Source organism: Homo sapiens, chromosome 1 (assembly GCF_000001405.40).
Source record: "Homo sapiens chromosome 1, GRCh38.p14 Primary Assembly".
NCBI lineage: Eukaryota > Metazoa > Chordata > Mammalia > Primates > Hominidae > Homo > Homo sapiens.
In genome coordinates this window covers 206,884,311-206,896,482 of record NC_000001.11, presented here as the reverse complement: position 1 = coordinate 206,896,482, position 12,172 = coordinate 206,884,311, and the positions used below count along the sequence as shown (strand labels likewise).

Sequence of the window (12,172 nt, the reverse complement as noted above, 5' to 3'; positions counted from 1 at the left end):
CTGATGCTTCTTAACTCTGTTTAATCCAGCATTTCCCATAAGTATTTGCCCACATCCCTGAGGAATACATTTTGGGAATCAGGGATTGGCCAACTGTAGGTCACAAGCCAAATCCAGCCTGCCACTGCTAAGCTGAGAATGGCTTAACCTTGCGACCTAAGAGTAGTTTTTACGTTTTTTAATGATTGGGGAAAAAATCAAAAGAAAGACATTATTTTCAGGTTTCCGTATCCATAATAAATAAAGTTTTCATGGGGTCACATATGTTTGTTGACATATTGTTGCTAATTGCTTTCGTGCTACAGAGGCAGAGATGAGTAGTTGTGACTGAGACCATATGGCACACAGAGCCTAAAATAGTTCCTGTCTGGTTCTTTACAGGAAGAGTTTGCCCAACCTGGGTCCAGGCATGGGAAACGGGAGTAGGAATGTGACGTGGGGGACAGGATAACTGCCTCCAGCTCAGTGGAGATGAAAGAAAAGAGGAGAGTGAGTAGAACACACCCTTGGCAGACTCTTCCCAATCTCTCTGGCACCAACACCCCCTCCCTCCATCTCATACTCAGTGTTGTTTATTTTCTTAAGCAAACAAAATACTCCTTTGCAATCCCTGGCCAGCAGTCTGCTTGGCTATAGCTGCCACCAGCCTGAATCCTTTGTTCCTGGAGGGCCCGAGTCTTACCCTCCAGAAGTAGGCACAGCCCCACAGCGCACTCTCTTCCCCCACTCCCCCCTTCCCACCATGTGGATTTAGGGCATTACCAAGAACCCCTAACTAACTACTATGAGATAAAGATGTCAAGAGGCAGTGATGAGACAGAAAAGAAGACCAGGTGAGAGTGCTGGAGTAATAGGTGAGTGGGAGGCAGGAGACAGCTAAAGCAGGAAGCTGAGAGGGAAAATGAGCCCCCAGGGCAGCTGAAATCCTAGACTACTGTCTGCAGATAGGCGGGGAGGGCAGGCAGGTGGGATGAGCTGTTAAAGGGCAGGCTGGAACAGAGGCATGAGGTCATGGATACACCTTGGCTGGCCTCAGGGTACACCTGGGATCGTGAGTAGCTCACTCTGTCTGAGGAAGGAATCATATAACATGGATAGTTCAGGCAAACATGTGCCTGGGCCTCAGCCTCCGATGAGCTTATCATAGCATTATTACTTCAGAAGGAAGGTCAAGGAGAGAACCTAGGAACCTTGGCCCAACATCAGTTGAGAATCTAGTTATGAGTACAAGCTTTGGAGGCAGGCAGACCTGGGTTCAAAAGGTGATCGAGCCACATATGAGCCCTCTGAGGCTCACCTTCCTCACTTGTGAAATAGAGTCCTCATAAGACCATGAGGATGTGATGACCTGCAGCTTTGCTCACCAAGTGTGGCCCATGAGCCAGCAGTGATAGCATTATCTGGGACCTTGTTAGAAATGTACAATCTTGGGCTGGGTACAGTGGCTCACGTCTGTAATCCCAGCACTTTGGGAGGCCAAGGTGGGAGGATTGCTTGAGCCCAGGAGTTTGAGGTCCTCCTAGGCAACATGGCAAGACCCTGTCTGCAAAAATAAATAAAAATTAGTTCGTTGTGATGGCACATGCCTGTGGTCCCAGCTACTCGGGAAGCTGAGGCAGGAGGATCATTTGAGCCTGGGAGGTCAAGGCTGCAGTGAGCCATGATCTTGCCACTGCATTACACCCTGGGTGACAGAGCAAGACCCTGTCTCGAAAAAAATAAATAAAAGTAAAGTAGAATCTCAAGCCCTTCCCCGAAAAAATGACTGAATTAGAATATGTAGTTTAAGAACCTTCCAAGGTGATGCTTATGTTCATTAAATTTTGAGAACCATCAGCATAAAACGCATGAAAGATTTAATTCAGTGTCTTCTCCATGGTAAATGTTTAATAAACAAGAGCTCCAGATGAAGGGAGGAAGGACTGGTTTAGGGGATCTAAATAAGGTGACTTCATACTTCATACTTCATACTTCATACTTCATGCCCATCTGTACTGGGCAATGTCTGGAGATATTTTTGGTTGTCATAACTGGGAGGTGCTATTGGTATCTAGTGGAATGGGCTGGGAATGCTGCTAAACATCCTATGGGCCACAGGACAGCCCCTCATCACAAAGAACTATATGACCTAAGGTCAATAGTGCTGAGGGTAAGAAACCCTGGATTAGAAGGAAGCAGTGGCTATGGGGGAAATAGCTGGAATAGGAGCAGAGGAAGAGAAGAACATGACCTTATTGGGAAAGGAGGCAGTAGGCTGATCAGATGATCAGGGGAATGGGAAAAACAAGGTGACAAGTTGGAAGGCAGTGCCCAAAGGCCAGGTGGAAACAGTGGGGAGACCTGGCTCACTGGCCCACCTCTGGGAAAGCCCCAAGTCTCAGACTTTAAGAGGTTGAAGGAAGTGGGGCTGGCCCTTTTGTCCAGATTCATATATTTTTATCCAAACTCTCCTGGATCAGACCAAGGTCTGAGGCTCTGCTAACCTCTACGAAAGGATGGAACTTGGGGAGTTTTACAAATGTTGGGTGGAAGAAAAGTTTATCTAAAGATAAATCTTCACATACAAGACTGTTTTTTTTTCCTCCAAACTACTCCTTATTAGATTCAGAGGTTTTATTCTAATAATCTTATCCTATCTCTGTCCTGTATATCTCTCTGCAGAGCCTGAATTTCACATTTGAGAAATAAATATACTCACATTCCCCCTACAAAGTCCTCTAAACCTAAAGGGAGAGAAAGAGACTGAGCCACCATGGACCAGAGTTCCTTCTCCACTTCCACTTCTGTGTGAGGCAATAAAGAGCTCACTCTTAAACCTGAATCTCCCCTCTTTGCGATGGATGCAAAGGCCCTGCAAAACAGAAAGTAATTAGCATATTAACTAGAATTTCCTAAGAGCAAAAAGATAAGAGGAAATTATATGATCATTTTTCTTCCAGTGAATTGAGTTTAATTTTCACTCGAGAACAGATTTTTATCTTCCCATTTGGCTGGGAAATGCATGTGGTAATGGATATGGGATAACCAGGGCATTTGTTAGCTCTTTTCCCTGAGTTAACTGCAGTCATTCCAGGAGCCCATATCCCACTGGTTGATCTCCTTAGACTGGCATTCTGTCGTTCTTCCTTCTCCCTGTGTCATTCGTGTAATAAGTGATTTATTTTTATAGGCATTTCAAGGGATGAGAGTAAACACAAACATAAATTATTCTTACATCTGTACAGCCTGCTTAGAGCTATACAAAATATTTCCAAGTGATTTTTTTCATCTGACACTTACTGTGGACTTTTGAAATAAGGAGGGCAGATATTATTATCCCTCCTTTACAGACTAGAAAGCTGAGAGTCAGAAAGGTCAAGTGATTTTCTCTAAGTCACATAAATAAATGACATAACCAGGCCTAGAGTGCAGGTCTTCTGGCTTTTGGTCCAGTGTTCTTTCCCCGGTGCCATGCTTCCAAGCAGTTTCTCAATCTTTAGTACATTCATTCATTCATCGAACAAACATTTCCTAAGCACCTACTGAATGGCAGAATAGAGTGTACAAAAAATAAATTACTATGAAAACATTTATGTCAAATGTCCAGAAAAGGCAAATTTATAGACACAGAATATAGATGAATGGTTGCCCAGGGCTGAGAGTTAAGAATAGGGTGGGTGGGAGGAAAGGAGTGACTACTAAGGAATACAATGTTTCTTTGGAGAGTAACAGAATGTTTTGAAATTAGATACGGTGATGGTTGCACAACTCTGTGTCTATATTTAAAAAAAAAATTGAACTGTGCACTTTAAACAGATAACCTATGGTATGTAAATTATATATTTAAAAAGCTATTTTAAAATAAATTAAGACACAGTCCTTGTGCTTTAATGACTCAGTAGAGTGGAGATACACTTGCAAACAGATAAATGGCAACACTGTGTCATGGGTACCACTATGGTTTGAACATTCCCTCCAAAACTCATGTTGAAACTTAATCCTCAGTGTGGCAGTATTGAGAGGTGGGACCTTTAAAAGGCGAATGGGTCTTGAGGGTTCTGCCCTTACAGATTGACTCATCTATTCATGGATTCACGGGTTATCATGGGAATGGAACTGGTGGCTTTAAAACAAGAAGAAGACAAAGCTGAGCTATCATACTCAGCCCCCTTTCCATATGATGCTCTGTGCCACCTCGGGACTCTGCAGAGTCTCCACCAACAAGAGAGCCCTCACCAGATGTGGCTTCTTGACCTTGGACTTCCCAGCCTCCATAACTATAAGAAATAAATTCCTTTTCTTTATAAATTACCGAATTTCAGGTATTCTGTTATAAGAAACCAAAAGCAAACTAAGACAGGTGCTATTAGCAGAAGGATGGAGCCTGTGGCAACAGCAAGATGAGGCAGAATCTCCCTCAGTGCTGGCACAGTGCTGGAAGATGCGGGAAGGCTTTCCATTGGAAGTGACATTCGATCTGAAATTTGAAGCCTGACTAGGAATTCACCAGCAAAAATAAAGCCGGGAGAGGTGATTGATGGAGACCCTGGTAGCCTCCACATTCGGCATCCACATAGTTACTGGACAGGACCAAAGAGCAGGTGGTTCTGGAAGCCGCTAGAAGAAAGAGGACCACTGATTGTTCTTTCGTGTAATAATTCATGCAAATCAATGGGAACAAGCTATGTAAATACAACTTCAGGGCTCCCAAGGGGACCTAGGGTGCTACTGATCCCACAGGGCTGCAGACAGGAATGGGGGGGAGAGAAGAAGGGCCAGGGTCTCACTTTCTAAGCCAAGCCTCCTGTACAATTGCAGGAAAAAGAACCACAAGAGAAAGCCAGTTCTGAACTGCAACTGCCTCCCAAGAGTCAGGATCCTGGACCTCCCACGACCTGTAGAACATCAACTTTGAGTCACAAGGACATGAGTATTCAAATAAATACATGGCATGGTACATGTTGGGGAAATAGTAGCTACAGAGTCTTCTGAGTAGATCCAGGTAAAGGACTGTGGTTTATTTCCCCTGTGTCACCCTGCCCCCTGTCTCATATATCCAGGGTTGCTTTTTTTTCTGAAGGAGATTTTTTTAAAAAGGAAGAAAGAATGGAAGAAAGGAAAAAGGCTTCCGTGTGAATGAAATAACATCCCATTCTCAGGCATTAATCAGAATCAATACAGTAGACTCCCCTTATCCATGGCAGACACGTTCCAAGACCATTGATCAGTGGATCATGCCCAGTAGATGCCTAAAACTGCAAATAGTACCAAACCCCATGTATCCGATGTCTTTTCTTTTCCTATACATACATATCTGTGATGAAGTTTAAACACAAAGAGATTAACAAGAATAACAAATAGTGAAATAGAACAATTATAACAATATGCCAGCGTCACTACTCTTGTGCTGTGGGGCTGTTACTAAGTGAAATAAGGGTGACTTGAACATGAGCACTGTTGTATTGTGACAGTCGGATGCGCTGGACAAAGGGAGGACTGACGTTCCAGGCAGGACGGAGCGGGATGGCACGAGACTTTATCACGCTGCTCAGAGTAGCACGCGATTTAAACTTATGAATTGTTTATTTCCGGAATTTTCCATGTAATAAATATTTTCAAACCACTGTTGACGTCAGTAACTGAAATCACAGGAAGTGAAACCACAGATAAAGGGAGACTACTGTACTCCTAAAATAGCACCCTCCCTTTCCTCCTATCCAGGTCCACTCTCCACACCTACAAAGAGATTTTCGGATTTCTGGACAGTGTTAATCTCCCCTCTCCTGTGCTCCTAGGAGTGCTGCTAGTCCCCCTTTGATGGCACCCAGGCGATCCTTCCCTGCACCCTGGTTGTGTCTCCTTCACCAGGCTGTGAACTCCCTGGGCACTAGAACTGAGTATTATCCATGTCAGAATTCCCCTCAGAAGCTGGCACAGGACAGGAGCTTAGTAAGCATTTGTTGAAATAGTGAATTTTATTTGACTGGTGTGACATAACCCTCTCCCTTTCTTGGCAGCTTTTAAAACCCTTGGAATCTCACCAATGATAGTGTCTTTTTTATGCTAACGCGTGACTGACAGCTGGGGGTTCCTGGATAGCCTAGGGATGGGAGCTGTTTGCCAGGGAATCAACCATGAGATAAGAGGGTTGGAGCTTTCAGCCCTACTCACTCCACCCCACCCCACCCCATCCCACCTCCAGGAAGAGGAGGGAGAGTGAAGGCTGAGTCAATGATCAATGCCTCATGATTTAATCAGTCATGCCTCTGTAATGAAACCTCCACAAAAACCCTAAAGGAAGAGGTTTGGAGAGCTTCTGGGTTGGTGAACACATGCAGGTACTGGGAGGGGGGTGCCCCAGAGAGTGCAAGGAGGCTCTGTGCCCCTTTCCACATACCTTGCCCAATGCATCTCTTCCATCTAGCTGTTCGTGAGTTGTATCCTTTCATAATAAATGGTAATCTGATAAGTAAATTATTTTCCTGGTTTCTGTGAGCCATTTTAGCGTATGATCAAACCAGAAGACGGTGTCATGGGAACCTCCGATTTATGGCTGTTCGGTCAGAAGCACAGGTGATAACTGGGACTTGTCATTGCTGTCTGAAATGGGAGCAGTCTTGTGAGATTGAACCCTTAACCCGTGGGATCTGATGCTATCCCCTGGTAAATAGTGTCGGACTTTAATTGAGTTGTAGCCATCCATTTGGTGTCCACCGAGAATGAAGAATTGGTTAGTGTGAGAAAAAATCTCACACATTTGGTGGTGGAAAGTACTGGTGTGAGTCTAGTCGTATAATTACTACTATGTAATTAGACTGGTTCACAAATCTAATTATGTACAAGGTCAAATTGTCTCCCAGGCTATTTGCCCAAAGATCTTTGCCAAATATTTCTCATTTTTGCTCAGGCAATGGCCACAGGCTGAGATGTGGCCTGCATCCAATGGCATTATTAAATACTGATCTGCTTTGCACGTGTTCCCAGCGTAAGAGTAAAAACCCAAAAAGTGATGCTATGACCACCTGTCTGGACATAGAAAGCCAGGGAAACAGAATCTGCGATTAGGCCAGCACAGGAGAGAGTTCTGGATCTGTGGATGAGGATATCATAGTCTTATCCTTAGAGCAGCCATATCCTGCTACCTTGAACAAGCCACTTACTTTCTCTGTGCCACGTGCCTCATTCTGTCCAAGAAGGAAAATGATCCCTATCCCGTCTATCTTATAGACTCTCTTCCAGTTTCATTCCCCTTTAAAATCCCTGTCCCTCATCTAGGAGATTCTTCTAAATGCACAAGTCTGATCATATTATTCCTCAGCCACCAAATCATTTTTGGTTTCTGATAAGGAAAGTTCCTCCCTCCTCTCCCCACAACCCATTGCTCTTTTGTTCTACTTTTGCAAACCAGTATGCTGGGTGGGTGGGAGGGGTTTATAGAATGTATATGTTCATGAAATTAATGTTCATTAAATGTTCATGAATCAATTTTTAATTTCAAAACCAGGTAAATGAAATGTATTTAAGGAGGAGGATAATTCAATTGCTTTTTCCTTTTGTGTGATCTTTAATTGGTTATTTCTATGGGTAAAAGTCCATGTAATAGAATGCTATTCCACCACTCAAAATAATTTATATTTACATTCTTAAAAAAACTTTTATAAAATTTTAGATTTAAAAAAATCAGGTTACAGATGACATATGCAGTAGGATCCCACTTTTGTAAAAGATAAAATGGGCAAAAGTGTTGAAAATGAGCTAGAAATATAAATGCTGAGATGTTAACAAGATTATCTTTGAGTGGTGAGATCATGGGAGTTTTCCTTCTCTATAGCTTAACTGTAGTCTCCAAGTTATACAAAATGCAAGGCTTTTAGAAAAGTTGTTGTAAATTTAAATAAATCTTTAGTTTCACTATTGCCCACTGAAAATTGTTGAAATTCCCCTACCTGGCACTGCACATTCTCTGAGACCCAATCCATTCACCTTCCCAGCTTTCTCTCTTCTACACTTCCACACACCATGGTACCAGCAAAACTGAGCGTTTCATCTTCACCTCGTGCCTCTATGCCTCTGTTAGGCTGGATCTGAAATGTTCTTGCCACCAGCCAAACACTAGCCACCCTTTATTGCTTCAACATAGAAACATGGCATATGTTGCTGACTGTCAAAAGCAGATTACATGTATATGTATGTATACATATACATATATGCATATACAAGCATGTGTGTGTACATATGTGTAATACACACACACACCTTTTTAAGAATGCTTATTTTGAAGGAATAAGATTACAGGCTTGGCAGGCTTTTATTTTCATCTTTAAGCTATTTTGTATTTGCAAAACAAAGAATAAAAGAATTCTACAAACACCAATTTAGAAAGAGAGGTTGAGACTTACATTAAAAATTTTTTAGCAGTACTTCAAGGCCAATTCCTTGAAGCCATTCCCAAAAGCTGCAAGGAATTTCTGTCACCTCTAAACAATGTAGCAATTTGAACTTCTTTGGTGGCACTTAGTCTTCTCTCTCTTTCTCTCCTGGGCTAAGATCATGGGACCGCAAAGGAACAGATCTTATGTTCTTCTCTTTTGCTCACACTGCTCAGCACAGTGTAGCAGCTTGTTAAATAAACAAACAAATCGTGAGTAAGATACTTGCTGTCAGAAGTGTTCAGGATGACTTGAAATCTGCATTTGGCAGGTTAATATCACCGCAAGAATAAAGACTTTTAAACCTGAAGGTATTCAAGGCTGGATATCCACTTAAAGGTATGATAGACATTACAGTTGTTCGCTCACATTTATAGTCTTCCACTTCTTGGAACACAGGAAAATTGCACTTCACTGTTCCATTGAAGTTAGACGTGGCCATGTGGCTGTTTAGACCAGTGAAATATAAGTGAAAGAAACACATGTCATGCTTGAAGGAAGCATTTAAGAGCCAGCACACAATCGTCCACACTCTCTCATCCCCTGCCATGTTGAGATGGCAGCATTATTACAGGATGATAGCATTTCCTGCAGCCTGTCCCTGAGTACCCATGATGAGGAGAGTCCCCATGCTAACATCTATTCCATATATAAAATAAGTGAGAAATAACTTTTGTTGTAATATGCTGCTGAGAGACATTAAGGAGTTGTTTGCTTCTACAGCATAACTTAGGCTAACCTGACTAATGCAGAAGGGATGTTAGAAGGGAGAAGGATTCTAAACACTTTAAAAGTGTTTAGAATGAATTTAGACTTTGCTAGGAACAAATGAATTTAGACTGCTATAGATAAAGCTCCAGAAAGCTCAATGAATTTAGACTCTGCTATAGGTAAACTTTGATTCTATATGCTAGTTAGTCAACTCATTATAAGTCACAGAGATTCTCAAATTCCTTCTTTAATGGAAAGCATTGCTTTCTCCTTGAACATGGAGTTAATGATGCATTCAACTGGGTGAGGTCAGGTTATAGCATGATGCTGACCACTTTGGGATTTAGCAATGGGCTGCTCAGTTCACTTAGGGGTCACATAATGAGAAGAAAGCTCTGTAAGGGATGATGGATGGAAGACTGAAAGCTGACCTGCAGAAAAGGGCTTTTCGCTCCTGGTAGGGGTGATGTAGAGCAGCAGTCTGCAACCTTTTTGGCTCCAAGGACCAGTTTCATGGAAGACAATTTTTCCACAAACAGGAGTTGGGGGATTAGGTTTCAGGATGATTCAAGCACATTACATTTATTGTGCACTTTATTTTTATTATTATTACTACATTGTCATATACAGTGAAATAATTATACAACTCACCATAATATAGAATCACTAGAAGTCCTGAGCTTGTTTTTCTGCAACTAGACAGCCTCATCTGGGGGTGATGGGAGGCAGTGACAGATCACCAGGCATTAGATTCTCATAAGGAGCATGCAACCTAGATCCCTCGCATGCACAGTTCACAATAGGATTTGTGCTCCTATGAGAAGCTAATGCTGCCACTGATATGATAGAAGGCAGAGCACAGGTGGGAATGCAAGGGATGGGGAGTGGCTGTAAATACAGATGAAGCTCCGCTCACTCACCCACCACTCACCTTTTGTGCAGCCTGGTTTCTTTCTTTCTTTGTTTCTTCCTTCCTTCCTTCCTTTCTTTCTCTCTCTCTTTTTTTTTTTTTTTAATTGTAGGAATCTCACTCCGTTGCCCAGGCTGGAGTGCAGTGGCGCAATCTCAGCTCACTGCAAGCTCTGCCTCCCAGGTTCAGGCCATTCTCCTGCTTCAGCCTCCCGAGTAGCTGGGACTACAGTCACCCGCCACCATGCCCGGCTAACTTTTTTGTGTTTTTAGTAGAGACGGGGTTTCACCATGGTAGCCAGGATGGTCTCGATCTCCTGACCTCGTGATCCACCCGCCTCAGCCTCCCAAAGTGCTGGGATTGCAGGCATGAGCCACTGCACCCGGCCACAGCCTGGTTTCTAACAGGCCACAGATGGATACTGGTCTGTGGGCCAGGAGTTGGGGACTCCTAATGTAGAGAATCTTCTACTTGCAGAAGCCTAAGATGCCAGTAAAAAGTTTAGGATGAGCCAACAGCCACACAGACACACACACACACTCATACACACAAAGACTTACAGCACACACACTTACTACATGGATTTTAAAACTGGCAAAGAAAGGCAGGCTAAGGCCTGGCAGGTCCGAGCTTGCCCCAGAATAAGAGCAACTAGAGTTTGTGTCCCTGAAAAAGCTCATATATGGTACTTGAAATGAAAATGACGTGAATTCTTACACTGAAATCTTATCTTTTGGCTTCTTATCTCCAGCCTTTGCCCACCGCTAAATAATCAGATCCAGGGAAGCATCAAAAGTCAAAGAAAGGATGAAGAGAAGTTGCTTCCAGCAACAGTGGGTGGGGCTTTCCATTTAAATTCTGCCTTCAACTTCCAAAAAATATCCTCTTGGGAAACTTATTACTCATGAAAATGAAGAGAAGGTGTTTTCCTCCATGGAGCAATCTCTGCCTTGAAAAGTCTCCATCCCTCTTCCTAGCCCAGAGAGATGATCCCACAAGGAAGTGGATTTTGTTGCTTAATCCTAGTTAACTGAATTCTGTTTTCCCACAATAAAATAATAAAAGTAATTTGGAATAGCATAACCTGAATGTTCATATTTCCACAGCCTGTGATTAAAAATTAGAAATAAAAAATCTTGAAATTCTGTCGTTCCATCTGCTCATATAAACATAGCAGGCTCTTGGGGAGTCTGTCCCTAGAGTGTTTTGAGAATTCTCAAAGGGATGTTTCTTCCAAGCCCATGAGGCAGTCTGTGCTTTCAGGGCTGGCTGAGCTAGCTATTGCAAGCTCCATGTGTGACCCCACTGGTGGTGAGAAGAGGGTTCTCCTCAGCAGCTTCTCAGTGCTAAATTGCTCCTGCCAAAAAATTTTGCAAGGTCACATTCACCCCAATAGGGAGATTGAGTCCAAAGTGTTGCAGAGTTCAGTGAAGCAGCTTTCTCAATGTACACTCTGAGACCTGCTTGGCCCCAGGATGCCCACATACCTCCACAGTGGTTGGTTTGGAGGAGTTTCTCGTAACATGGGACTGGAATTCATCAATATCAGTGACATTGGTTCCTGTTACTGAGCACAGCTCACATGTCACACTCCTTTCTTTCTCAAGGTGAATCCTCTTTAAGGGGTAGGGGTTGCCATTAACCCCCTGTAATCTGGATTCTGTATGCTCTGATCTATCAGCCATGTCTATGAGTGTTGAATCCCAAGTGTGAACAGAGTTCAAGCCTTTTCCCCAGAAAGTTCTTCAGCCCCACTGTAATTCAATGGAGGCAAATGAATACTTCTAGGGGAAGGGGAGCTAGCTCTACTGGCTGGGTTTCTTGGAGGGAGGGAGCAGGGGAGTTTCAACTCCAGTCCAGTGAGCCAGTTGGTCGTGTAATGCTTTACAAAGTACTTCTACAATTTGATACCCACAAAAACCCTATAAGACAGAGCAGATATCATTATTTCTGTATTATGATTATAAAACCAAGGCAAAGGGAAATTTGGTGGTTTGCCTAAGCTCATAGAACCAGAAAATGGAACTACCTAGAATTCATCCCAGGTCTCTGACTCCAAGTTTAAATACTTGGGAGGCAGTACAGTGTTCTGGAAAACATGCAGACTATGGAGTCACACGGTGTGTTTGTATTCCTGGCTCTG

At 43.0% G+C, this 12,172-nt stretch overlaps 1 long non-coding RNA gene across 2 annotated transcripts, besides 1 other annotated feature; it reads left to right on the top strand.

Annotated features, from left to right (window-relative positions):
* On the top strand, nt 365–11,174 carry LOC105372879 (uncharacterized). 2 transcript variants are annotated; one of them, XR_007066836.1, is made up of 2 exons: nt 365–489; nt 10,781–11,174. It is a non-coding gene; the product is annotated as an uncharacterized LOC105372879 (long non-coding RNA). The 2 variants fall into 2 exon arrangements; XR_007066835.1 differs by having other exon boundaries at nt 4,798–11,174.
* Nucleotides 5,180–6,379: an enhancer, noted in NCBI's record as "BRD4-independent group 4 enhancer chr1:207063449-207064648 (GRCh37/hg19 assembly coordinates)". NCBI's record gives its function as "activates an origin of replication core promoter dependent on BRD2, P300/CBP, MED14 and CDK7 cofactors, and independent of BRD4, by STARR-seq in HCT116 cells {active_cell/tissue: HCT116}" and the evidence as "EXISTENCE:reporter gene assay evidence [ECO:0000049][PMID:35650434]".
* Nucleotides 11,175–12,172: the final 998 nt, after the last annotated feature.